Genomic DNA, 26,056 nt, shown 5'->3' with positions numbered 1-26,056 from the left:
TTGCAAAACACTATCTGATAAAGAACTGTTATCCAAAATATACAAAGAACTCTTAAAATTCAACAGTAAGAACACAAACAACCTGATTGAAAAATGGGCCAAAGAGCTTTACAAACACCTCACCAAAGAAGATGCGCAGATGGCAAATAAACATGTAAAAAGATGTTCCAGATTATATGTTGTCAGGGAAAGGTAAATTAAAACAATGAGATACCATGTATAAGAATAGCCAAAATCCAGAACACTGGCAACACCAAATGCTGGAGAGGTTGCGGAACAACAGGAACTCTCATTCACTGCTGGTGGGAATGCAAAATGGTACAACCACTTTGGAAGACGGTTTGGAAGTTTCTTAACAAACTAAACACACTTTTACCATATGATCCAGCAGTCATTCTCCTTAGGATTTACCCAAAGGACGTGAAAATATATGTCCACACAAAAAACTGCACATGAATGTTTATAGCAGCTTTACTCATAATTGCCAAAACTTGGAAGCAACCAAGATGTCCCTCAATAGGTAAATGGATAAACAAACTGTGGTGAATCTAGACAATAGAACATTATTCGGTGCTAAAAAGAAATAAGCTATCAACCCATGACAAGCCATGGAGGAAATTTAAATGCATATTACAAAGTGAAAGAAGTCAATCTGAAAAGGTTATATCCTGTATGATTCCAACCATATGACATTATGGAAAAGACAAAAACTGTGGAGACAGTAAAAATATCAGTAATTGCCAGGGGTTAGAAAGGGTAGAAGGACGAATGGACAGAGCACAGAAAATGTTTAGGGCAGTGAAACTACTCTGTATGATACTATAATGAATACATGTCACTATACATTTGTCCAAACTCAGAGAATGTACAACACCAAGAGTGAACCTTAATGGACTCTGGATGATGATGATATGCCAGGGTAGGTTCCTCAGTGTTAACAAATGTATCAGTCTAGTGGGAGATGCTGATAGTGAAGAAGGCTGTGCATGTGTAGGGGCAGGGCATGGGTGGGAAATCCCTGCACCTCCCCTTCAATTTTAGTGTGAACCTAAAACTACTCTAAAATATGTCTACTTTTTAAAAGGGAATAAACATTGATGCACACAAGAACAATGATGAATCTCCAAAGCATTATGTTAAGTGAAAGAAGCCAGACACAAAGGATGACATATGATATGATCCCATCTATATAAAATTTTAGAGAAGACAAAACTATCATGATGGAAAGCAGATCACTGGTTTCCAGGGTCCGGGAGGTGGGAGAGGAGACTGACTGCAATGGGCGACAAGGGAAATTTTTTGGCATGAGAGAAATGTTCTACAAGATGAATGTGGTGGTAGTTTCAAAACTACACACTTGTCAAAAGTTATAGGATGGTACACTTAAAACTGGTGAATTTTTGCATGCAAATTATACTTTCATAAAGCTATAAGAATATAACAATAAAGCACACATAACTCACTTTATTGCGCTTCATTTTATTGTGATTTGCAGATATTGTGTGTGTTTTTTTTACAAATTGAAAGTTTGTAGCAACCCTACATCAAGCAAGTCTGTCAGCACTATTTTTCCAAAGTATGTGCTCACTTTGTGACTCTGTGCCAGTATTTTTTTAGCAATAAAGTATATTTCATTAAGGTAGGTATTTTTTTGGATATGATGCTATTGTATACTTAATAAACTATAGCATGGTGTAAACGTAACTTTTATATGCACTAGGAAACCAAAACATTTGTGTGACTCACTTTATTGAGATACTTGCTTTATTGCAATAGGCTGGAACTGAATCCCCAGTATCTCTAAAATATGCCTATGTAAGAATTCTATCAAACAGGCTGGGCATGGTGGCCCATACCTGTAATCCCAGCACGTTGGGAGGCCAATGTGGGCAGATTGCTTGAGCCCAGGAATTCGAGACCAGCCTGGGCAACATGCCAAAACCCCCTTTCTACAAAAAATATAAAAATAAGCCAGGCATGGTGGCACGTGCCTGTGGTCCCAGCTACGTGGGGGGCTGAAGCAAGAGCCTGAGCCCAAGAGATCAAGGCTGTAGTGAGTCATGTTTGCACTGCACTCCAGCCTGGGCAACAGAGGGAGACCCTGTCTCGAAAACAAAAAGGAGATTATCCGAAAGAAAGTAAAAGGCATCTGTGATTCAACCATCCAGATACTACCACAGTTAAGACTTCTGTGCATTAAAATGTTTATATTTTTACCAAAAAAAATTAGTAAATTTTGCCACTTAATTTTGCAAATTGGTAAGCTTTTTTCACTTAAGATATCCTGAACATTTCTGTGCCCATAAAGAAATAGAATGACAACATGAGCTCTAATGGCTACAAAATAGTCCACTGGATATATACAAAATAATTAATTCAGATTCCCTCCCAGTTGGTGAGCAGTATTGTGATGAATCTCATTATCAGAAATCCCACTCTCTGATCACCACCTTCCATACTTCTAGTTCACTCCTTGCTGGTCCTACATTCCAACTCCAGCCAACTTGATTCTTCCTGGTCCTAGATTCCATCCATCCTACCACTTTCGTCACTGCCTCTCACCCTCCTCCGATTGCTTTCTTCTTCCCCCAGCTTAAAATGCCATGGTCAGTCTCCGTACACCTCACTTGAATACTTCCTCAACACTTGCATCTTCCCACTGCATTAGGCCCACTTAGCAAAACCACACCCTGGTAAAATCCAACACTGCCTGTATCAACATAGCTAAACAAGGCTGGAGAAAAACACTCTTGAATCGAATGGCCTCACATGAAATTCATGGCCTCAAGCCTCAGGTGGATCCTCAATGTAGTGCAGCAATCTTTCTACTTTTCCCTACTCCATTTTCTCCCATTCTCTTGGCCCAGTGCCTCTTAAACTATCTGCTGTGAGGACTAGATGTTTTTATTTCCAATCTATTATAGACCAATACTTTTTAAAAATACAATAAAAATGTTACAGCAATGTCAAGTGCTATAACAGTTTCTAAAAGCTTGCTCTCACTTTCTGTACTCATCTCCTGGCAAGTCAGTAACCAAGGGCTCCCCAACTGGCCACTTTGTGCACTGCAGTCCTAGATGACAAATCTCAAATTGCCAGCACCTCCCCACCTTATTCACTCTGAGTTGATCATCTTGCTTCCTCTTTCACTAAAAAGGAATGAAAGACAATCAGTTCTTACTGATATGCAAATGATGTTTACAAAGGTTATTACTACACTCCTATAATTGCTTCTGTGCTGCTTTGCAAAAAATGAAAACTAAAAATAAATCACACCCAAACAAATACAGGCTAGAATGGTTTGTTGTTGTTGTTGTTGTTGTTTGGAAAGAAGCAGTTCTTTCAAAGTAGCTTTGTTACTTGTACCAAACTGTAAACATAAAACCTTTGTGCAACCTAGAGTGACTTTTTCCAAAGATTGTTACCTATTTCAAGGTGGAACCATTAAAACGTACTGAACCACAGTGGAAAAGACAACTATTGAGCCTAATTGAGGAGAAGGGTACTGTTTATTTCTGTGGCAACTGTATGTGGGTATATGGACAAGGTCTGTCATCTATTTAGGGACTTGTTTTATATGTCCCCGACCTTATCCACATCTTTTTGTTTTCTTTTGAATGTACTTTTCCAAACAAAGAATTATAAAATTATTTCAACCTTAGAACCTTAAGATGCCTTCAAATGGATTTATGTTAGTCTTTAGGGAGTCAATGTGTTGCTGCTTATTATAATATAGTTCGCTTGGAGCCCCAAGTGTGCCAATGTCCTCCCCACACTTCCCAGATGCCTTCATCTTCCTGTGAGCACTTGAGCTAGGAATCTCAGGTGACTTAATTTGGTTTTCCAGTGCTGAGGAGGCTACATTGTCTGGGGTATATATCCAGGGGCTCACCATTTGGCATTGGAAAATTTAGGACACAGACACAAGGAGTTTGTGTCTGTGTCCTAAACCTTTAGGAGTAAAGGTTTAATAGGCAGAAGAAGAGAAACAGCTCTCTCTGTCGAGAGAGAGAGGGGTTTTCCGAGCGGAAAAGATGGGCTGGCTGTGGATGTGCCGGATTGTATAGTAAAGCTTGAGGAGGTGGTGTCTGATTTAGGTAGGTAGGGCTCACAGATTGGTTTAATCAAATGTGAAGTTTACATAGCACGCCCAAATCCGGTCACCCCACCCTAATCTTATTATGCTAATGAACTCTCCGTGTCTGGCCGCCATCTTGTCGCTCTTTACTGTACACATGGCTGGCACCTAAAGGAAGATGGAGCCAACATGTCTAGTCCCTAGTTCCCGCCAGCATTCACTAGCGCAAGCTCCCAGGTTGGCTGTCTACGTCTGCAGCTCGACTTTACAGGCTGCTCTTTGTTAGAAAATGATTTGGGGCTGGCCGGGCGCGGTGGCTCACGCCTGTAATCCCAACACTTTGGGAGGCCGAGGCGGGCGAATCATGAGGTCAGGAGATCAAGACCATCCTGGCTAACATGGTGAAACCCCGTCTCTACTAAAAATACAAAAAAAAAAATTAGCCGGGCGTAGTGGTGGGCGCCTGTAGTCCCAGCTACTCGGGAGGCTGAGGCAGGAGAATGGCGTGAACCCAGGAGGCGGAGGTTGCAGTGAGCCGAGATCGCACAGCCGCACTCCAGCCTGGGCAACAGAGTGAGACTCCGTCTCAAAAAAAAAAAAAGAAAAGAAAAGAAAAGAAAAAAGAAAATGATTTGGGGCTGCTTTTCATTAAAAAGCCTTACCGAGGACTCCCATAACCTTACTATCTGCCTAAGTGATTTCTTCTTAACCCCTGTATCAGTGCCTACTCTATTGAAAAACTAGTTTTTCATTCTTGAGAAGAAACTTATGGAAGGACACGTTTCCTATCACAAGTTCACGTACTAATTTTTTTGTTTAATTTCCTTGGTGCGACTTATGCCAAGTAATTATGAAGATTTTTTTTCCTGGGTATTTCATGAAGCCTAGGAAGTTGGAACAGGCAAATCCTGGGTGTGAAAGCTTTATTTTATCTACCTCATTTATTTTTTATTTGTTGTAGTCATAGTCTCTGCTTTCCTATTTTAAGACCACTGAAGTATTCCCAGGCCCTGTCTTAAACTTAAGAGTTGATGTATTGGTGGGAAGAACTGAATGTTCAAGATGATCTTTTTATTCCATTTTTTTATAATCTCCTTTTGTACATGTAATAACATTGAGCATATGAATTATTGTTCCTCTAATGGCTTAACGGGAAAGGAGAAAGAAAGATCCTAACTTCTGGGTGGAAAAGTCTTTCCCCTGTATGCGGAAGGCCCTGATTGAAATGTGGACCTAAGACTGTTTGCCAAGTTTTGTCTCTTAGTTATTGCACCTTGACTTTAGGATTCCCCAATTTTTTTTTTCTTTTTTTCTTTCTTTTTTTTTTTTTTTTTTTTTTTGCCAAGCTGTGCCTTTCCTTCTGGAATTGTAAGTGAACACAATAGTACATGCTTACACTGTGAAGTGGATACTGTTACGGAGAACACAACAGTGGCTTTCTCACTGTTGAGATGATAATGTCTTGTGAATGTATGATCTACAGAGAAACCCCTGTAGTTTTATCCACTGATGCTGTCTGCTGGAAAATAAATTTTGAATGTTTTTTCCCCCTGTCAAAATGACAGACAGACAGACAGACAATCAGAAGGGACCAAACTTTCCTTCCATATACTCTTTCTTCCCTTTTATTAGAGATGAATTGCTTGTGTTCCCATCTTAGGTCAAATCCTCCATTTATGCACTGGATTCCAACCTCTCTTCTACTCAAAGACACTGTTCCATCAATTCTTTCTCTCCTGCATCAGAGATTTTTCCCTTTCTACTGAGTTATTCCTATCACTGTACATGCTATTATTTCTCCCATCTTAAGAAGAAAATCTCTTGCTCCCACTTCCCCTCCAGCCTCTTGACTGCACTCTCCTTTAGTACTGTCTATATGCTCTTTCCAGCCCCTCTTCCTTAACCAACTCCAGCCAGGCTTACCCCACCACTCCATTACATTGCTTTCTCAAGGTCACTAGGGAAACTCACTTTGTAAACTCTGGCAGTCAACTGTCAATCTTCGAAGTAGACACTTTCTATGGTACATGTCATGTTCCCTGGGCCCACCTCTAATTTCAGTCATAGCTGCAGTTGGTTCCGTGCTCATTAACAGCATTCCTTAACAAGCACCCACCTCATCTCTCTCTGCTTTCAGCCTCAAGGTTTCTCCCACAAGAGCTTGCAAATCCCAGAAGTAGAGAAGAGTTAACACTCTCAAGAAAACCCTCAACCAAGGGGGACCAGACACATGTCCCAGCTTCCCATTGTCTGAGCAGAAAATTGTGGCTGGCGCTTTACATCCTTCTTAGATGTCTCAGTGGAGCTGACCCCACAGTCTGGAGCAACCATCTCAATAACACACCCTTTATTGGCTTTCTTCTTTCACTATCTCACTTCTCTGCTCTCTCATTCCTGTTCCTGGGATCATCTCCCAAATAAATACCTTGTCCACCATCTCTGCCTTAGAGAACCCAAACTAAGATGATCCTCATCTAACTTAACCACATTTGACATGGTTGATCATTCTCTTTTTTGAAGCAGATTTTTCTTGGCTTCTAGGATATTAAATATCGTGTGTTTCCTCCTACCTCATTGACCGCTCCTTCTCATCCCTGCTAGGTCTTCCTCCCTAAACTCTGGGTCCTTGGCCACATGTCTCCCATGCCTATGCTTACTCCATTGGTGATGTCAAATCATGGTGTTTAACATCTCCCAAATGCTGATGACTCCCATATTTCTATATCAAGCCCAGATCTTTCCTTTGATCTCCAGACTCAAACACCTAACTGCTTATTCAATATCTCCAATAGGATGTTTAATAGACATCTCAGACTTGGTGTTCCCAAAACGAAATTCCTGATCTCCACTCATCCCCAACCCTCACCCGCCCAAACCCGCTCCTTCCACAGTCTTCCCCTCTAAATTTATGGCATCTCCTGCCCTCCAGTTTCTCAGGGCAAAAACTTTAGAATGATCTTCAGTATCTCTCATACTTCAGTCTGTCTGCAAATCCTGTCTGTTCTATCCTCAAAATAGTATGTATGTATTAAATAGTATATGTGCATATGTATAAAATATTATATTGGAGATAAGTGTGTGTATATCTCCAAAATCTGACTATTCTCACCATTTCCACTGCTACTCCCCTGCTGCCATCATCTGTTGTCTACATTCTACCTGATGCCACTGTCACCCATCTTTAGTTGACCGTCAAAGCAGCAGCCAGAGCAATCCTGTTGAGATGTATGTGTTAGATAACATTATTCTGTTATCAAAACTCTTCATAGCTTCAGATCTCATTCAAAGTAAAATCCAAAGCCTTCCTGCCAGTTTCCAGGGGCCATCCCGTCACATCTGGCTGTCCATCATTTCTCTAACCTCCCTCCTCCTGCACTCCCTTCCACTCGCTCTGCTCCAGGTGGACTGACCCCCCGCCATCCCTCAACCACACCACATACACTCCTGGCTCCTCCTTTTTATATCCCTTTGCAGACATTGGAGATAACATTTGAATGGGAAGATATAAAATTCACATGTTAATTTTAAATGTTACTTGTAAGAGTCTTTTTTTCAGCTGAGTCAGTTTAGATTTATTCAAACCATTCAGGTTTATTACAAAAGGACTGGACCCTCTTTCATGGGTCTGTTGGATTCTGCTCCCTAATCATGAAGAAGTAGAAAAACTTTGCCTAGGCATTATAACTGATAAATAAATAACAACATAATTACCACTCTACTCTTATGATGGTAAATTTTTTATAATAGTTTCTAGTAGTTTAATAGTCATCCTATTAAATACACATACAGATAGTCCCCAACTTAGGATGGTTCAACTCAAGATTTTTTTCAACATTACAGTGGTGCAAAAGCAATATGTATTCAGTAGAAACCATACTTTGAGTACCCACAAAACCATCCTGTTTCTCACTTTCAGTACAGTATTCAATATATTACATGAGATATTCAATAATTTATTATAAAATAGGTTTTGTGCTAGATAAGTTTGCCCAACTCTAGGCCAGTATAAGTGTTGTGAGCATATTAAAGGTAGTGTAGGCTAAACTATGATGTTTGGCAGGTTATGTGTATTAAACACATTTTCGACTTACAATTATTTTCAACTTACGATGGGTTGATCAGGACACAACCCCATCATAAGTCAAGGAGCATCTGTATACATCTGTAGTTCCATGCAAAATTATAGTCTAATTAATCCACCAATAGGTGCAAGATAAACTTGTTCCTTACCTTCCTTAGGAAATTAACTTGGACTCAGATAGCATTAAATAGATTCTGAAAATGTAAATATGCCCTAAGTCACCTTTTGACTTGAAGGACTCTGTCTTTGATTTGTAGTTAATGAATGACAAAAAGAGAAAAACTTTTTGGACACCAAGCTAACAATCAATAAATTTATCTCAGTCCTTGTAGATAAGGTACTCATATAACCTTGCTTCCCCATTTCCTATACAAGCAAGTGTGATGAGAGAAAAACCCAAGGTGCTAGATTTTCACTAATATGAGACAAGCAAAAGAAAGATCCCACAAGTCCTCTTCTATATATAGAGGCAGGGTGGGAGTGGTGGAAATATTCACTGTGCATGCCATGGGCTAAGCTAGTGGGAAAAAAAAAAAGAATAAGCAACAGTTTTTATAAACTTTAGGTAAGTGTGGAGAAAAACACACTGCAAAAAACTGCTGCTCCATATGAATGTATACACACATATATACACAAGATAGAATAACCACGAGTGATGCGTATGTTTCTAGGGAGGCAATCAATGTTGGGTTCCTCTCTTTCCTCACTTTGCTAAATTGGTCAAAGGAGTCCAAGGAAACCAGTTTTCTCCCTAAACAAATGCACAAGAAGGACTCCCAGATGGGCTGACTTTCTGGGTTGGCAAACCAGAGCAGTGACATTATAAACATTGAACATGTGAAAAAAGGAAAGGCACAAGCAAAAGCCAATCCACTTACTATTTCTTACTATAGTAATAGTGACAAGGATCTCCGAGAGAGGTATAAGCATGTGCACGCGCGTGCGCGCGTGTGTGTGTAGTATGATTAAAACTAGGTAAAGTTAGTATAATAAAAATTAGGAAATGCCAGAAGAGATTTTAACATCATTGGAGTATATTTTAAATTTTTTCATTCAACAAATTAGCCCCTTTTGAAAAAAGTGGCAAAATTATATTATTTACAAGATAATCACTAGATATATAAATACCTTAATTCACAGTGGTGTGATCTAGAACCCAAGTTTAAAGTTGCATAATGAATACTAATACCTTCTTTCAATCTCACAAGTATATCTCTGGAAAAAGTATATATACATGTATACATGTGTGTATGTGCATATGTGTATGTACACATACACATATTGGGGTGGGGGTGTGTGTGTATCAACCTAATATATATAGGCTAAAGCAAGTGTTCTGAGCATATTTAAAGTATGGTAGGGTAAACTATGATGTTCATAGATTACGTGTATTATGTGTACACCTTTTTGACTTACAGTATCAATATGCATGTATATAGAGACACATTTAGACATTAGATCAAAAGTTCAAATTTTATGTCCTTGATGAATAAGATGTCCATGAGAAATCCTAATAATTCCAAAGGTAATCACAGACTGAAAGACCTCCAATAATAAATTGTGCTCCCACTACTATTTCCCCGAGAAGCTCCTTCCTTAAAAACCCATCCGTTTCCTATCCCCAAATTTTCCCATTTGCAACATGTAAGTGTCTTTGTCCATTCAGACTGCTGTAACAAAATGCCATAAGCTAGCGGCTTAAAAACAATAGCAATTTATTTCTTGCAGTTATGGAGTCTGGAAAGTTCCAAGATCAAAGTGCCAGCAGATCTGGTATCTGGTGAAGTTCTGTTTCCTGATTCATAGATGGTACCTTCTCCCTGTGTAGAAGGTACAAAGAAGATAGCAGAAGGCCTTAGCCCTATTTTATGAAGGCCTTAGCACTATTCCCATTTATGAAGGTTCTGCCCTCATGACCTTATCACCTCTTCCTAATGCCATCATCTTGAGGGTTAGGATTTCAACACATGTACTTGGGGAGACACAAACTCTCAAACCATAACAGTAGGTTTCTCATTGCAGATTAAAAACTGACCCTGAATATAGCAATAGTGAAAAGATGCCCAGCCTCTAAAGGGCCCCAGTGACTCAAGGGTCCAAAACAATTTTAATTCTTCTGACTTTAAAGCTCTGTCTGTTTGGGACAAGTAAAGAACAACAAGGCCAGGTGCAGTGGCTTATGCCTGTAATCCCAGCACTTTGGGAGGCCAAAGCGGGTGGATCATTTGAGGTCAGGAGTTTGAGACCAGCCTGGCCAACATGGTGAAACCCCATCTCTACTAAAAATACAAAAATTAGTTGGGCATGGTGGCAGATGCCTGTAATGCCAGCTACTCAGGAGGCTGAGGCAGGAGAATCACTTGAACCTGGGAGGTGGAGGTTGCAGTAAGCCAAGATCACGCCCCTGCACTCCAGTCTGGGCAACAGAGTGAGACTCCATCTCAAAACAAAAAGTCAAACTCCATGCTTTAAATCATCAATAATATAACAGGCAATAAACCTCTGTGTTTACAGTATCAATTTGACTTTTAAAAATCCTAATTAACTTTCTTTCAAATGAAAAAGATATGTTGCTTTTTAAATAATCTTTCCCAGCAAAGTCTCAGGATACAAAACCAACATGCAAAAATCACAAGCATTCCTATACACCAACAACAGGCAAGCAGAGAGCCAAATCATGAATGAATTGCCACTCACAATTGCCACAAAAAGAATAAAATACCTAGGAATACAGCTAACAAGGGAAGCGAAGAACCTCTTCAAGTAGAACTACAAACCACTGCTCAAAGAAATCAGAGAGGACACAAATAAATAGAGAAACATTCCATGCTCTTGGATAGGAGAATCAATATCATGAAAATGGCCATACTGCCCAAAGTAGTTTATAGATTCAATGCTATTCCTATTAAACTACCATTGATGTTCTTTACAGAATTAGAAAAAAACTATTTTAAAATTCAAATGGAACCAAAAAGAGCCTGAATAGCCAAGACAATCCTAAACAAAAAGAACAAAGCTGGAAGTATCACGCTACTCAACTTCAAACTATCCTACAAGGCTACAGTAACCAAAACAGCACAGTACTGGTACAAAAACAGACACATAGACCAATGGAACAGAATAGACATCTCAGAAATAAGACTGCACACCTACAACCATCTGATCTTCAACAAATCTGACAAAAAAAAAGCAATGGGGAAAGGATTCCCTATTTAATAAATGGTGCTGGGAAAACTGGCTATCCATATGTAGAATATTGAAATGGGAACCCTTCCTTAAACCATAGACAAAAATTAACTCAAGATAGAGTAAAGACTTAAATGTAAAACCCAAAACTATAAAAACTCTGGAAGAAAATCTAGGCAATACAGGATATAGGCATTGAATTCAGGATATAGGCATTGGCAAAGATTTCATGATGAAAATGCCAAAAGCAATTGCAACGAAAGCAAAAATTGACAAATGGGATCTAATTAAAGAGCTTCTGCACAGCAAAATAAATTATCAGAGGGAAGAGATAAGCTACAGAATGGAAGAAAATTTTTGCAATCTATCCATCCGATGAAGGTCTAATATCCAGAGTCTACAAGGAACTTAAACAAATTTGCAAGAAAAAAAGCAAACAACCCCATTAAAAAGTGGGCAAAAGACATGAATAGACACTTCTCAAAAGAAGACATACATGCAACCAACAAACATGAAACAAAGCTCAACATCACTGATTATTAGAGAAATGCAAATCAAAACCACAGTGAGACATCACCTCGTGCCAGTCAGAATGGCTGTTATTAAAAAGTCAAAAAACAACAGGTGCTGGCAAGGTTGTGGAGGAAAAGGGATGCTTTTACACTACTGGTGGGAGTGTAAGTTAGTTCAACCATTGTGGAAGACAGTGTGGTGATTCCTCAAAGACCTAGAGGCAGAAATACCATTTGACCCAGCAATCCCATTACTTGGTATACACCCAAAGGAATATACATCATTCTATTATAAAGATACCTGCATACGTATGTTCATTGCAGCACTATTCACAATAGCAAAGACATGGAGTCAACCTAAATGCCCATCAATGATAGACTGGATAAAGAAAATGTGGTACATATACACCATGGAATACTATGCAGCCATAAAAAGGAGCAAGATCATATCCTTTGCAGGGACATGGGTGGACTTGGAAGCCACTATCCTCAGCAAACTAATGCAGGTACAGGAAACCAAACACCACATGTTCTCACTTGTAAGTGGGAGTTGAATGATGAGAACATATGGACACATGGGGAGAAACAACACACACTGGGGCCTGTTGGAGGGTGGGGTGGGAGGAGGGAGAGCATCAGGAAGAACAGCTAATGGATGCTGGGCTTAATACGTAGGTGATGGGATGATTTGTGCAGCAAACCATCATGACACACATTTATCTATATAACAAACCTGCACATCTTGTACATGTACCCCTGAATTTAAAATAAAAATAAAAGTTTAAGAAAAAATAATAATAATCTTTCAGAGTAACTGCTGTTTTCACAACAGCCAATTCATCCCCTTAACCCTTTCACAAGTTTAAAACTCAAGAAAATATAATGTTGGCCTCAAAAGTAATCTGAAGAACATTCTGATTCACTAATGATTACCAACACATAATAGGGCAAATAGAAAGATTACAGGCATTTTCATCCAAACCAAAGCAATAGATTTTTGTTGAATGCATCTGATGTGGAGGGCACTGAAGGGATAAACATAAAAGAATCTCATTATTTGAAATGTTTACAATTTACTTACTGGGTAGACATAATAAAGTTAGATAAAAATGTTTTTTATTTTAAGAACAACCAACACCATTAAAAATAGGCAAATGATATGTACACTTCTTAAAAGAAGAAATGCAAACAGCTAACAAACCACATGAAAAAAAAGTTCAACATCACTATCAGAAAAATGCAAATTAGGCCAGGCACGGTGGCTCATGCCTGTAATCCCAGCACTCTGGGAGGCCAAGGTAGGCAGATAATCTAAGGTCAGGAGTTTGAGACCAGCCTGGCCAACATGGTGAAACCCCATCTCTACTAAAAATACAAAAATTAGCCAGGCATGGTGGCAGGTGCCTGTAATCCCAGCTACTAGGGAAGCTAAGGCAGGAGAATCACTTGAACCCAGGAGGCAGAGGTTGCAGTGAGCCGAGATCACACCATTGCACTCCAGCCTGGGTGACAGGAGCAAAAGTCCGTCTCAAAAAAAAAAAGAAAAAGAAAAAGAAAAAAATGCAAATTAAAACCACACTGAGATACCATCTTACACCAGTCAGAATGACTATTACTAAAAAGTCAAAAACAACAGATGTTGGAATGGATGCAGAGAAAAGGGAAAACTCATATTGTTGGTGGGAATGTAAATTAGTTCAATATCTATGGAAAAAAATATGGAAATGTCTACCAAGAGAAAAATAAATCATCATATCAAAAAGATACCTGTGGAAGTGGAGGCAGCACAAGATGGCCAATAGAAGCCTCCACCAACCATCCTCCCTTCAGGAACATCAAATGGAACAACTATCCACACAAAAAAGCACCTACATAAGAATGAAAAATCGGGTGACCAATCAGAGTACCTGGTTTTAACTTCATATCACTGAAAGAGGCACTAAAGAGGGTAGGAAAGACAGTCTTGAACTGCCAATGCCACCCCTCTCCCACCCCGACAGTGGCCACATGAGGTAAAGAATCTGTGCACTTGAGGGAGGGAGAGCATAGTGATTGTGGGACTTTGCATTGGAACTCAGTGCTGCCCTATCACAGCAGAAAGCAACACCAGACAGAACTCAGCCAGTGCCCATGGATGGAGCATTTAGATGAGCCCTAATCAGAGGGAAATCACCCATCCAAGCAGTCAGAACTTGAATTTCAGCAAGCCTCGCCACCACAAGCTAAAGTGCTCTGGGGTCCTAAATAAATTTGAAAGGCAATCTATGCCACAACGACTGCAACTCCTAAGCAAATCCTAATGCTGTGCTGGGCTCAGAACCAGTGGATTTTGGGGGACACATGACCCAGCGAGACACTGGCTGGGGCAACTAAGAGAGTGCTTGTGCCAGTCAGCCCTCCCCCAACTCCAGGCAGTGCAGCTCACAGCTCCAAAAAAGACTCCTTCCTTCTGCCTCAGGAGAGGAGAGAGAAGAGTAAAGACAATTTTGTCTTACAAATTGGATACAAGTTCAGTTACAATAGGATAGGGCACAAGACAGAGTCCGGAGGCCCCCCATTCTAGGGCCTAGTTCCTGGTCATCATTTCTAGGCAAGCTTGGGCCAGAAGGGAGCCTGCTGCCTTGAAGGGAAGAACCCAGTCCTGGCAGGATTCATCACCTATTGACTAAAAAGCCCTTGGGCCCTGAAAAATTTGTAGCAACAACCAGGTAATATGTGCTGTGGGCCTTGCATGACTCTGAGACATGCTGGCTTCAGGTTTGATCCAGCACATTGCCACCTGTGGTAGCTACAAGGAGAGACTCCTTCTGCTTGATAAAAGCAGAGGGAAAGGTAAAGGGGGCTTGTCTTGCAGCTTAGATACCAGCTCTGTCACAAAAGGGTCAAGCCCTAAGTGGGCCCCTGTGGTTTAGGTGCCAGCTCTGCCACAGTAGAATAAAGTACCAGGTAGATTTCTGACTCCAGGCTCTGTCTCCCAGAGAACATGTCTGGACCTTCCCATGGCTCAGGGAAACTCAGCGCACTGAAGAGAAGGACACAAGTTTAGCTGGTTTCACTACCTGCTGATCACAGAGCCCAAGGTTCTTGAGCAAACATAGGCAGTACCCAGGTAGCGGCTACAGTGGGCCTTGAATGAGGCCCAGTGTTGTGCTGGTTCCAGGTCTGACCATCAGAGTCCCAATGGTGGTGGCCACAGGGGTGCTTATGTCATGTGTCCTCCACTTCCAGACTGCTCAGCACAGAGAGAGAGAGAGAGACTCCTTTTGTTTTGGAGAAAGTAAGGAAAGAGAGCAAGAGTCTCTGCCTGGTAATCCAGATTATTCTTCCAGATTTTATCCAAGACCACCAAGGTGGCACCTAAGTCTGCAAGAGCCACAGCATTATTACTGGGCATGGGATGTGTCCTAATGCAGATACGGCTTCAGTGACCAAACGCTTAGATCACAACACCCAAATCCCTTCAAATACCTGGAAAGCTTTCCCAAGAAGAATGAATACAAAAAAGCCCAGAGAGTGAAGACTACAATAAATACCTAATTCTTCAATGTCCAGACACAGACAAACATCCACAAGCATGAAGACCATACAGGAAAACATGACCTCACCAAACAAACTAAATAAGCCCTCAGGGGTCAATCTGAGAGAGACAGAAATATGTAACCTTTCAGACAGAAAATCCAATAGCTGTTTTGAGGAAACTCGATGAAATTCAAGATAACACGAAGAATTCAGAATCCTATCAGATAAATGTAACAAAGAGATTGAAATAATTAAAAAGAAACAAGCAGAAATTCTGGAGTTGAAAAACTACAATTGACATACTGAAGAATGCATTAGAGTCTCTTAACAGCAGAATTAATCAAGAGAAGAAAGAATTAGGCAGCTTGAAGACAGGCTATTTGAAAATACAGTAAGAGGAGATAAAAGAAAAAATAATAGAAAACAAGGAAGCACATCTAAAATATCTAGAAAATAGTCTTTAAAAGGCAGAGTTATTGGCCATAAAGAGGAGATGGAAAGAGAGATACAAGGGTAGAAAGTTTATTCAAAGGAGTAATAACAGAGAACTTCCCAAACCTAGAGAAAGATATGAATATTCAAGTACAAGAAGGTTATAGAACACCAAGCAGATTTAACCCAAAGAGGACTACCTCAAGGTATTTAATAATCAAACTCTCAAAGGTCAAAGATAAAGAAAAGAGCCTAAAAGCAGCAAGAGAAAAGAAACAACTAACATAAAATACAATGGGGCTCCAATACATCAGGCAGCAGGCTTTTCAGTGAAAACCATACAGGTCAGGAGAGAATGGCATGACATATTTAAAGTGCTGGGGAAAAAAAGACTTTTACCATAGAATAGTATATCTAGCAAAAATATCCTTCAAAGATAAAGGAAAAATAAAGACTTTCCCAGACAAACGAAAGCTGAAAGATTTCAATAACACCAGACCTGTCCAACAAGAAATGCTAAAGGAAGTACTTCAATTAGGAAGAAAAGGATGTTAATGAACAATAAGAAATCATCTGAAGGTGTAAAACTCACTGGTAACAGTAAGTACAAGGAGAAACATACATAACATTCTAACTGTGGTGTGTAAACTAGTCTTAAGTAGAAAGATTAAATGATGAACTGACCAAAAATAATAACAACAACTTTTCAAAATGTAGACAGTACAGTAAGATATAAAGAGAAGCAACAAAAAGTTTAAAAACAGGAAGACAGAGTAAAGGCATAGAATCTTTATCAGTTTTCTTTTTGCTTGTTTGTTTATGCAAATAGTGTTGTTTTCTGCTTAAAATAATGGGTTATAAGATAGTATTTGCAAGCCTCATGGTAACTTCCAATAAAAAAACATACAACAGATACACAAAAGATAAAATGCAAGAAACTAAATCATATCACCAGAAAAAAATTACCTTCACTAAAAGGAAGGCAGGAAGGAATGAAAGAAGGAAGAGAAGACCATAAAACAACAAGAAAATGACAAAATGGCAGGAGTAAGTTCTTAACAATGGTAACACTGAATGCAAATGGACTAAACTCTCCAATCAAAAGATGCAGGCTGGCAGAATGGATGAAAAAGCAAGACCCAGTGATCTGTTGCCTACAAGAAACACTATTCATCTATAAAGATGCACATGGACTGAAAATAAAGGGATGGAAAAAGATATTCCATGCCAATGAAAACTGAAAAAGAGCAGGAATCACTATACTTATATCAGACAAAATAGATTTCAAGACAAAAACTGTAAGAGGAGACAAAGAAGGTCACCATATAATGATAAAGGGGTCGATTCAGCAGGAGGATATAACAACTTTAAATACATATGCACCCAACACTAGAGAACCCAGATATATAAAGCAAATATGAGAGCTAAAGAGACAGGCCCCAGTACAATAATAGCTAATAATAAGTGGAGTGCTCTACTTCAACACCCCACTTTCAATATTGGACAGATCTTCCAGACAGAAAATCAATAAAGAAACATCAGATTTAATCTGCACTATAGACCAAATGGACCTAATGTATATTTACAGAACATTTCATCCAACAGCTGCAGAATACACATTCTTTTCCCCAGCACATGAATAGACCATATGTTAGGTCAAAAAACAAGTCTTAAAACATTCAAAAAACTGAGATAATATCAAGCATCTTCTCTTACCACAATGGAATAAAACTAGAGGAATTTGGAAACGATACAAATACATGGAAATTAAACAATATGCTCCTGAATGACCAATGGGTCTACGGAGAAATTAAGAAGGAAATTGAAAATTTTCTTGAAACAAATGATAATGGAAACACATAAGTCCCATACCAAAACCTGTGAGACACAGCAAAAACAATACTAAGAGGGAAGTTTATAGCTATAAGTGCCTACATCAAAAAACAAGAAAAATTTCAAATAAACAACCTAATAATGCATTTTAAAGAACAAGAGCAAGCCAAACCCAAAATTAGTAGAAGAAAAGAAATAAAGATCAGAACGGAAATAAATTTGAAATGAAGAATACAAAATATCAATGAAACAAAAAGTTGGTTTTTTGAAAAGCTAAACAAAATTCAGAAACCTTTAGCCAGACTAAGAAAAAAGAGAGAAGATCCAAATAAATAAAATCAGACACGAAAAGAAGACATTACAACTGATACTGCAGAAATTCAAAGGATCATTAGTGGCTGCTATGAGCAACTATATGCCAATAAATTGAAACATCTAGAAGAAATTGATAAATTTCTAGACACATACAACCTACCAAGATTGAACCATGAAGAAATCCAAAACCTGAACAGACAAGTAACAAGATTGAAGCCATAATAAAAAGTCTCCCAGGCTGGGCACAGTGGCTCACGCCTGTAATCCCAGCACTTTGGGAGGCTGAGGCAGGCGAATCACGAGGTCAGGAGTTCAAGACCAGCCTGGTCAACATGGTGAAGCCCCGTCTCTACTAAAAATACAAAAAATTAGCTGGGCATGGTGGCAGATGCCTGTAATCCCAGCTACTTGGGAGCCTGAGGCCAGAGAATCACTTGAACCCAGGAGGTAGAGGTTGCAGTGAGCTGAGATCATGCCACTGCACTCCAGCTGGGGTGACAGTGTGAGACTCTATCTCAAAAAAAAAAAAAAAAAAAAAAAAAAGTCTTCTAGTAAAGAAAAGCTTGCAACTCAATGGCTTCACTGCTGTATTCTACCAAACATTTAAAGGAGAACCAATACCAATCCTACTCAAACTCTCAAACTATTCCAAAAAATAGAGGACAGAATCCTTCCAAATTCATTCTATAATGCCAGAATTGCCTGATACCAAAACCAGACAAAGACATATTAAAAACAGAAAACTGTAGCCCAATATCTCTGATGAATATTGATGCAAAGGTCCTCAACAAAATATTACCAAATGGAATTCAACAATACATTAAAAAGATCATTCATTATAACCAAGTGGGATTTATTCCTGGGATGCAAGGATGGTTCAACATATGCAAATCAGTCAGTGTGGTATATCATATCAAGAGAAGGAAAAACAAAAACTATATGATCATTTCAATTGATGCTGAAAAAGCATTTAATAAAATTCAACATCCCTTCATGATAAAAACTCTAAAAAAATGGGTATAGAGGAACATACCTCAACATAATAAAAGCCATATATAACAGACCCATAGCTAGTATCCTACTAAATGAGGAAAAACTTAAAGCCTTTCCTGTAAGATTTGGAACACAATGAGAATGCCCACTTTCACCACTGTTATTTGACATAATACTGGAAGTCCTAGCTAGAGCAATCAGACAAGAGAAAGAAATAAAGGGCATCCAAATTGGAAAGGAAGAAGTCAAATTATCCTTATTTGTGGATGATATGATCTTATATTTGGAAAACCTAAAGATTCCACCAAAAAAAAACTATTAGAACTGATAAATTCTATAAAGTTGCAGGATACAAAATCAACATACAAAAATCAGCATTTCTACATGACAACAGTAAACAATCTGAAAAATCAAAAAAGTAATACCATTTATAATAGCCACACATAAAATTAAATATCCAGGAATTAAAGAAGGAAAAGATCTCTATAATGAAAACTACAAAGCACTAATGAACTAAATTGAAGAAGGCACCAAAAAATGGAAAGATATTTCATATTCGTGGATTGGAAAAATCAACATTGCTAAAATGTTCATACTACCCAAAGCAATCTACAAATTCAGTGCAATCCCTATCAAAATACCAATGACATTCTTCACATATATAGAAAAAAATCCTAAAATTTATATGGAACCTCAAAAGACCCAGAATAGCCAAAATGATCCTAAGCAAAAAGAGCAAAACTGGAAGAATCACATTATCTGACTTCAAATTATGCTACAGAGCTGCACTAACCAAAACACCATGATACTGGCATAAGAGCAGATGCATACACCAGTGGAACAGAATAGAGAACCCAGAAACAATCCACACACTTATTGTGAACTCATTTTGGACAAAGGTGCCAAGAGCATACACTGAGGAAAAGATAGTCTCTTCAATAAATGGTGGTGGGAAAACTGGAAATCCATATGCAGAAGAATGAAACTAGATCCCTATCTCTTGCCTTTTACAAAAATCTAATCAAAATAGATTAAAGACTTAAATCTAAAACCTCAAACTATGAAACTACTACAAGAAAACATCAGGGAAACATTTCAGGACATTGGCCTGGGCAAAAATTTATTCAGTAATACCCCACAGGCACTGGCAACCAAAGCAAAAATGGATAAATGGGATTGCATCAAGTTAAAAAGCTTCTGTACAGCAAAGGAAACAATCAACAAAGTTAAGAAATAACTCTATGGAAAGGTGTTCAACATCATTGATCATCAGAGAAATGCAAATCAAAACTACAGTGAGATATCACCTCATTCCAGTTAAAATGGCTTTCATTCAAAAGGCAGGGAATCATAAATGCTGGCAAGGATGTGGAGCAAAGGGAACACTGTTGGCTGGGATTGTAAATTAGTACAATAACTACGAAGAACAGTTGGGAGGTTCCAAAAAAAACTAAAAATGGAGCTACCATATGATCTAGCAATCCCACTGCTGGGTATATACCTTAAAAAAAAAGATATCAGTACATGAAAGAGAAATCTACACTCCCATGTTTGTAGCAGCACTGTTCATAATATCCACAATTTGGAAGCAACCTAAGTGTCCATCACAGATGCGTGGATAAAGAAAATGTGATACTTTTTTAAATTTTTCTTTAATTATTATTATTATACTTTAAGTTTTAGGGTACATGTGCACAATGTGCAGGTTTGTTACATATGTATACATGTGCCATGTTGGTGTGCTGCACCCATTAACTCGTCATTTAGCATTAGGTATATCTCCTAATGCTATCCCTCCCCGCTCCCCCCACCCCCTAACAGTCCCCGGTGTGTGATGTTCCCCTTCCTGTGTCCATGTGTTCTCATTGTTCAATTCCCACCTATGAGTGAGAACAGGCGGTGTTTGGTTTTTTGTCCTTGCGATAGTTTGCTGAGAATGATGGTTTCCAGCTTCATCCATGTCCCTACAAAGGACATGAACTCATCATTTTTTATGGCTGCATAGTATTCCATGGTGTATATGTGCCACAGAAAATGTGGTACTTATACACAATAGAGTACTATTCAGCCATAAAAAAGAATGAGATCCTGTCATCTGCAAAAACATGGATGGAACTGGAGGTCATTATGCTATGTGAAATAAACCAGGCACAGAAAGACAAACATTGCATGCTCTCATTTATTTGTGGGACCTAAAATTCAAAGCAATCGAACTCATGGACATAGATAGTAGAAGGGTGGCTGGCTATCAGAGGCTAGAAGAGTGGCAGGAGGATAAGGTGGGGATGGTTAATGGGTACAAAAAAGTAGAAAGTATTCATAAGTCCTAGTATTTGCTAGCACAACAGGGTAACTACAGTTAATAATAATTGTACATTTTTAAATAACTAAAAGAGTATAGTTAGATTGTTTATAACACAAAGGATTAATGTTTGATGGTAGAGATCCCTCATTTTACATGATGTGATTATTACACATTGCATGGCTGTACTGAAACCTCTCATGTACCCCACAAATATATAAACCTACTAGGTACCCACACAAATTAAAATTTAATTTTTAAAGCCTGCGACAGATTAAAAAAATAAAAACAGAAGACACCTGCACTCATATGTTTATTGCAGCACTATTTACAATAGCATAGTCATGGAACCAACCTAAATGTCCACCAACAGTTGAATGGGTAAAGAAAATATGGCATAGATACCCCATGGAATACTATGAAGCCATAAAAAAGAATGAAATCATGTCCTTTGCAGCAACATGGATGGAACTGGAGGCCATTATCTTAAGGAACTAACACAAAAGCAAAAAAAATCAAACATTGCATGTTCTCACTTATAAGTGGGAGCTAACCAAATGGCACACATGAACATAAAGATGGAGAAAAACAAAGCTATCATATGAAGTCTGGGGACTCCACAGAGGGAAGGACTGAAAATTACTTGCTGAGTACAATGTCCAATATTTGGTTGATGGGTACACTAGAAGCCCAACCCCCACCATTACACATGTAATACCCATGTAACAGGCACATATACCCCCTGAATCTAAAATAAAATAATTAAAATTAAAGAATTTCAAATTAAACAGACTTAGCTATTATTTTTTAAAAACCTTTTAAATGAAAACTGCTAATCTAGGAATTCCTCCATTGCTTCTAATTACATGCTAATGAATATGAAAGCAGTGACACAGGATAAAATCATTTCTTTTTCCTGTAACCAGATTCAGTTAGCTGGAGAGCTGCCAAGCATTTTCTGTGACATGAAACAAAACCCTGGAACATAGCTATAAATGTATCCCCATACAATGTCTGCTAAGAATGAATGCTCTGTGATTTTTCTTTTTTGAACTTGAATAATATGGCTCTCTACAAAAGCATTTCAATGGTGCTGGAAGGTCAAACTATTTCCAGATAACCCTAAGAGACCTTGGGTTACCTCCTATTCTGGCTATCTTTTGGCCCAGGGAAATCTTAGGGGATTTCTACCCCACTTCAGTAGGTCCTCAAGCAAGCCAAATTGGTTACTAGTCCCCAAAACTGGTTCCAAATGACAAAGAACCACAGGTTTAACTTAATCCCATTGCCTTCCCCTCACTTGGGTGACTGTTCCGTTGATTATTTCTTCCTTTTCACACCTCCATCTCTCCCCTTCCATTGGCTTTTCCCTCTGAGCCTATAAATATACTCAAGTCTTCTCTTCTAAAATAAGATATTTTATTGGAATACTAAGCTGCCTTCTCATCTCCTTATTTTCTCCCACAAATTTATTGATGGAATAGCCTATATTTATGAGCTCTACCTCTTCATCTCCCTTAATACCTAATTACCAGGATGCAGCTATCTCAGCTCCCTTTATGCTGCTTAGCTAACACTAACATGGAAGCCACCAGCCACCTTGTCACTGCTGTTTTAAAGATTTGCTCACTCCCTACACTTTTGCTTTATGACATTAAAATTGTCTTCCTAATAAAAATAAATGAATAATAAAGAAAAAGGAAATAGGAAAGAAAGAAAAGAAAAGAGAAATAAAATTGTCTTTCTTTGCCTGCTACGGCCACCCTCTTCCTGGGTTTTGCTCCCAACTCTGGCTATTCTTTCCTGGTCTCATTGGTGATACTTTCATTAACCTCCTACTCATCAACATGTATATCCCCACAGTTTTCACCTTAACGTTTCTCCTTACTCTACTCACTCTCCCTGGGTGATCTCAACCATTCTTGGGGTTTCCCTAAACTCTCTTCACTGATGTCTCCCAAAACTAAAACCACCAACTTCTCTCCCAAGCTCTAGACTCGTATTTCCAATAGCGCACCTTGCCTCCCTATCCAGAAGTCCCACAGGCTCTTAAATGTGCCCCCAAATGATTCATTATCTTGGCCTCCAAATCTGCTTCTTCTCTTATCTTCTGTCTCAATGTGATTTTCATCCCACCAGTTGTCTAAACTTGAAAAATTCTATAATCTTTTATTTTCTCCCTTATTCCCTACATGTAATCTATGACATACAAGCCCTGGATTCTGTCTCCAAAATGTCTTATATCCACACATTCCCCATGAATTGTCTGAGTTCAGCCCCTGAATACCTCTTGCTTGACCTAATCCAATAATCACTAACTCATCTCTCCTTCTCCTCTCCCTTTCCCTTCTTCCTCTTCTGCTCCCCTCCCCTCCTCTTTCCCTCCTCCCTCCCCCTTTCCCCTCCACAATGTTCCCAGATTAATGACATTCTTCATCACAAGAAAAAGACATAGAAATACAGTTAGCCCTGAGGAACTGGCACATTTCCCTAAGTAAGCGCATGGGAATATAATGCAACAGAAAATGGACTGTGATTTGCTGGCCTAAAAAATAAATTACGATTTTGTTGGCTTTTCAAATGAGGTCAAATGTGATTGGGCTCCAACCCAGTTCACATTTACTCATTTCCTCAGATAATTCCAAAACGTGCATCACTCTCAGCCACAGAGCATTCCCACACTTGTACTGGTGCAGTTCTCACTGCCTGAATGTACTGCACCTCACTCTTTTCCCACCAAGCAGATGCTTTCTCACGGCACAGCTAAAATATCATCTCATATAGGTTACCTCCTGACTTATATATAACTCCTCCTGCAATTATCATCACTTCTGTGTTAGTCCATTTTGTGCTGCTATAACAAAATACTACAGACTGGGTAGTTTACGAAGAATGGAAATTTATTTCTCACAGTTCTGGAGGCTGAAAAGTCTCCAAGATCAAGGTACCAGCATCTGGTGAGGGCCTTCTTGATGTGTCCTCACATGGCAGAAGAACAGCAGAGCATGAATCCACTCCCAAGAGTTGTTTTTATAGTGGCATTAATCCATTCATGAGAGCAGAGCCCTATCACCTAAACACCTCCCTTTGGCCACACATCTCAATAATGTTACCTTGGGGATTACGTTTCCAACACATGAATTTTGGAGGGCACATTTAGACTACAGCAACTTCCTTTAGCACTCCCACAGAACTCCAGCTGTATTCCTCTCCTAGCACTTAGTACTTGATTACCATTCTGTAATTGTGGCTGCGAGGTCATCTTCATTTTGCAAGAACCCAGCACAGTGCTTAGACCATGGCGGGGGGGTGGGGGGCCGGTGGGGAAACACCCTCAATAAACACCCTTTCACTTGCTAGGGATGGCCCAAGTAAAGAGAAGATTTAGCTGCAGAAGCCTTAGGCCTGTTGCCTACATCAAACACAATGGGGCATGATGATTCATCGAGATATTAATTTGTACTTTCTTCCTGCTGCTATTGCTACTATCAGTATTTTTCCCTTCTCCCTTCCAATAACATAGACAACTTTATGTTTGGAGTTTTTGAGTCCTTAGCAAGAGTCACACTCCATTTTTAATAATTTTGTGAATTTCAGGGTAATAAATTGAAGTTTCAAGGTACTTACAAAAGTTCCCATCCAGACAGGGCTTTGTGAAAGAAAGCCTATGCCAAAAGGGAAAGGACAGGAATATTCTCCAGAACAGGAAAGGAATGAATTTAAGAGATTGTGTTCTGTCAGAAACACAGACCTCGTTCCCACCTGTGCCTGGGTAGGTGGGAGCTGGGGGAGCTCTTCCAGAAAGCCAACAGTAGATGGACATGGTGCATTCTCTCTCAGGGTGGTCGTCAGTGGGTGAACAGCTGGGAGGGTCCTCTGACAGCCTAGTTGCTGGGGATCATGTCTTCAGCAGCAGCATGTCGGAATGTGCAGTGGTCATGACGGAGCCAACTGTGGGGAGTGGACTGGGCCCCATCCCAAATTTATGGCACTGTACCAGCCTGGGATTCTTATATTATCCTATGGAGTGGGAAAGGGTATCAGTAATGATTGAGATTTAATTTTCCCACCAGTCAGGTAGTTAATTCAATATAGAAAAATAAAGGAATGTGACCTAAAAGAGAACTGTGCTCTAAAATTAATGTCTACTACATAATGCTCACTCCAATCCCCAGGAAAAGTACAGTATCTCTCAGAGCAGCCCTGAAACAGCTTTGAGACATAACATTGACCTATTCTTGCTTTGAACACACATTATCTAATATGTCAAGATGTCATTACAGGGGCAACGAAATTTCTTGCATATATATTTCTGTTTAAAGCTATTAGAAAGTCTTCTTTTGGTGTATGCTATGAAGTATCTCTTCAAATCCTATTAGTTCAAAAAGCTAAAGGCAGAAGCAATCCAGGGTGACCAATTTCAGCTTTGCTGGATACTGAGAAAGACATAGGAAGGAAGCCGACATCTGAGGAAGTACAGTTCCCAAACATGGCCACAAGGTGGCAGGGTGACTCTGCACGCCAGAAGCATAGCATCCAAGGCGTGGCTGTTCTGGAATGCACAGAGAAAGAGAACCCAGGAGACAGGCAATACAGAATAATTGGAAAGCCTGTATCTAGAGGACTTTTCCACTGAGCGGTGGATTCTCATATTATTAATGTACCCATCTTCTAGAGGCAAACCCTCCAAGAGCCTTTGTGAGGCCTTAGCAGCTTTCAGATGCCGATTCCCCAGCTCCAAGATCAGCCTCAGCTGCACGGCAGCTCACGCCTGTAATCACAGCTACTCGGGAGGCTGAGGTGGG

The 26,056-nt window shown here is 39.3% G+C and overlaps 1 protein-coding gene across 10 annotated transcripts in view; it reads right to left on the bottom strand.

The window, feature by feature from the left end:
- SYT16 (synaptotagmin 16) overlaps positions 1-26,056 on the bottom strand; it is a 300,664-nt gene that overhangs the window by 249,287 nt on the left and 25,321 nt on the right. The gene's annotated exons all lie outside the window — the stretch shown is intronic.

This window comes from Homo sapiens, chromosome 14 (assembly GCF_000001405.40).
Source record: "Homo sapiens chromosome 14, GRCh38.p14 Primary Assembly".
In the NCBI taxonomy this organism is placed as follows: domain Eukaryota; kingdom Metazoa; phylum Chordata; class Mammalia; order Primates; family Hominidae; genus Homo; species Homo sapiens.
Note: the sequence above shows the minus strand (reverse complement) of the source record. Positions and strands in the feature narration are given on the sequence as shown.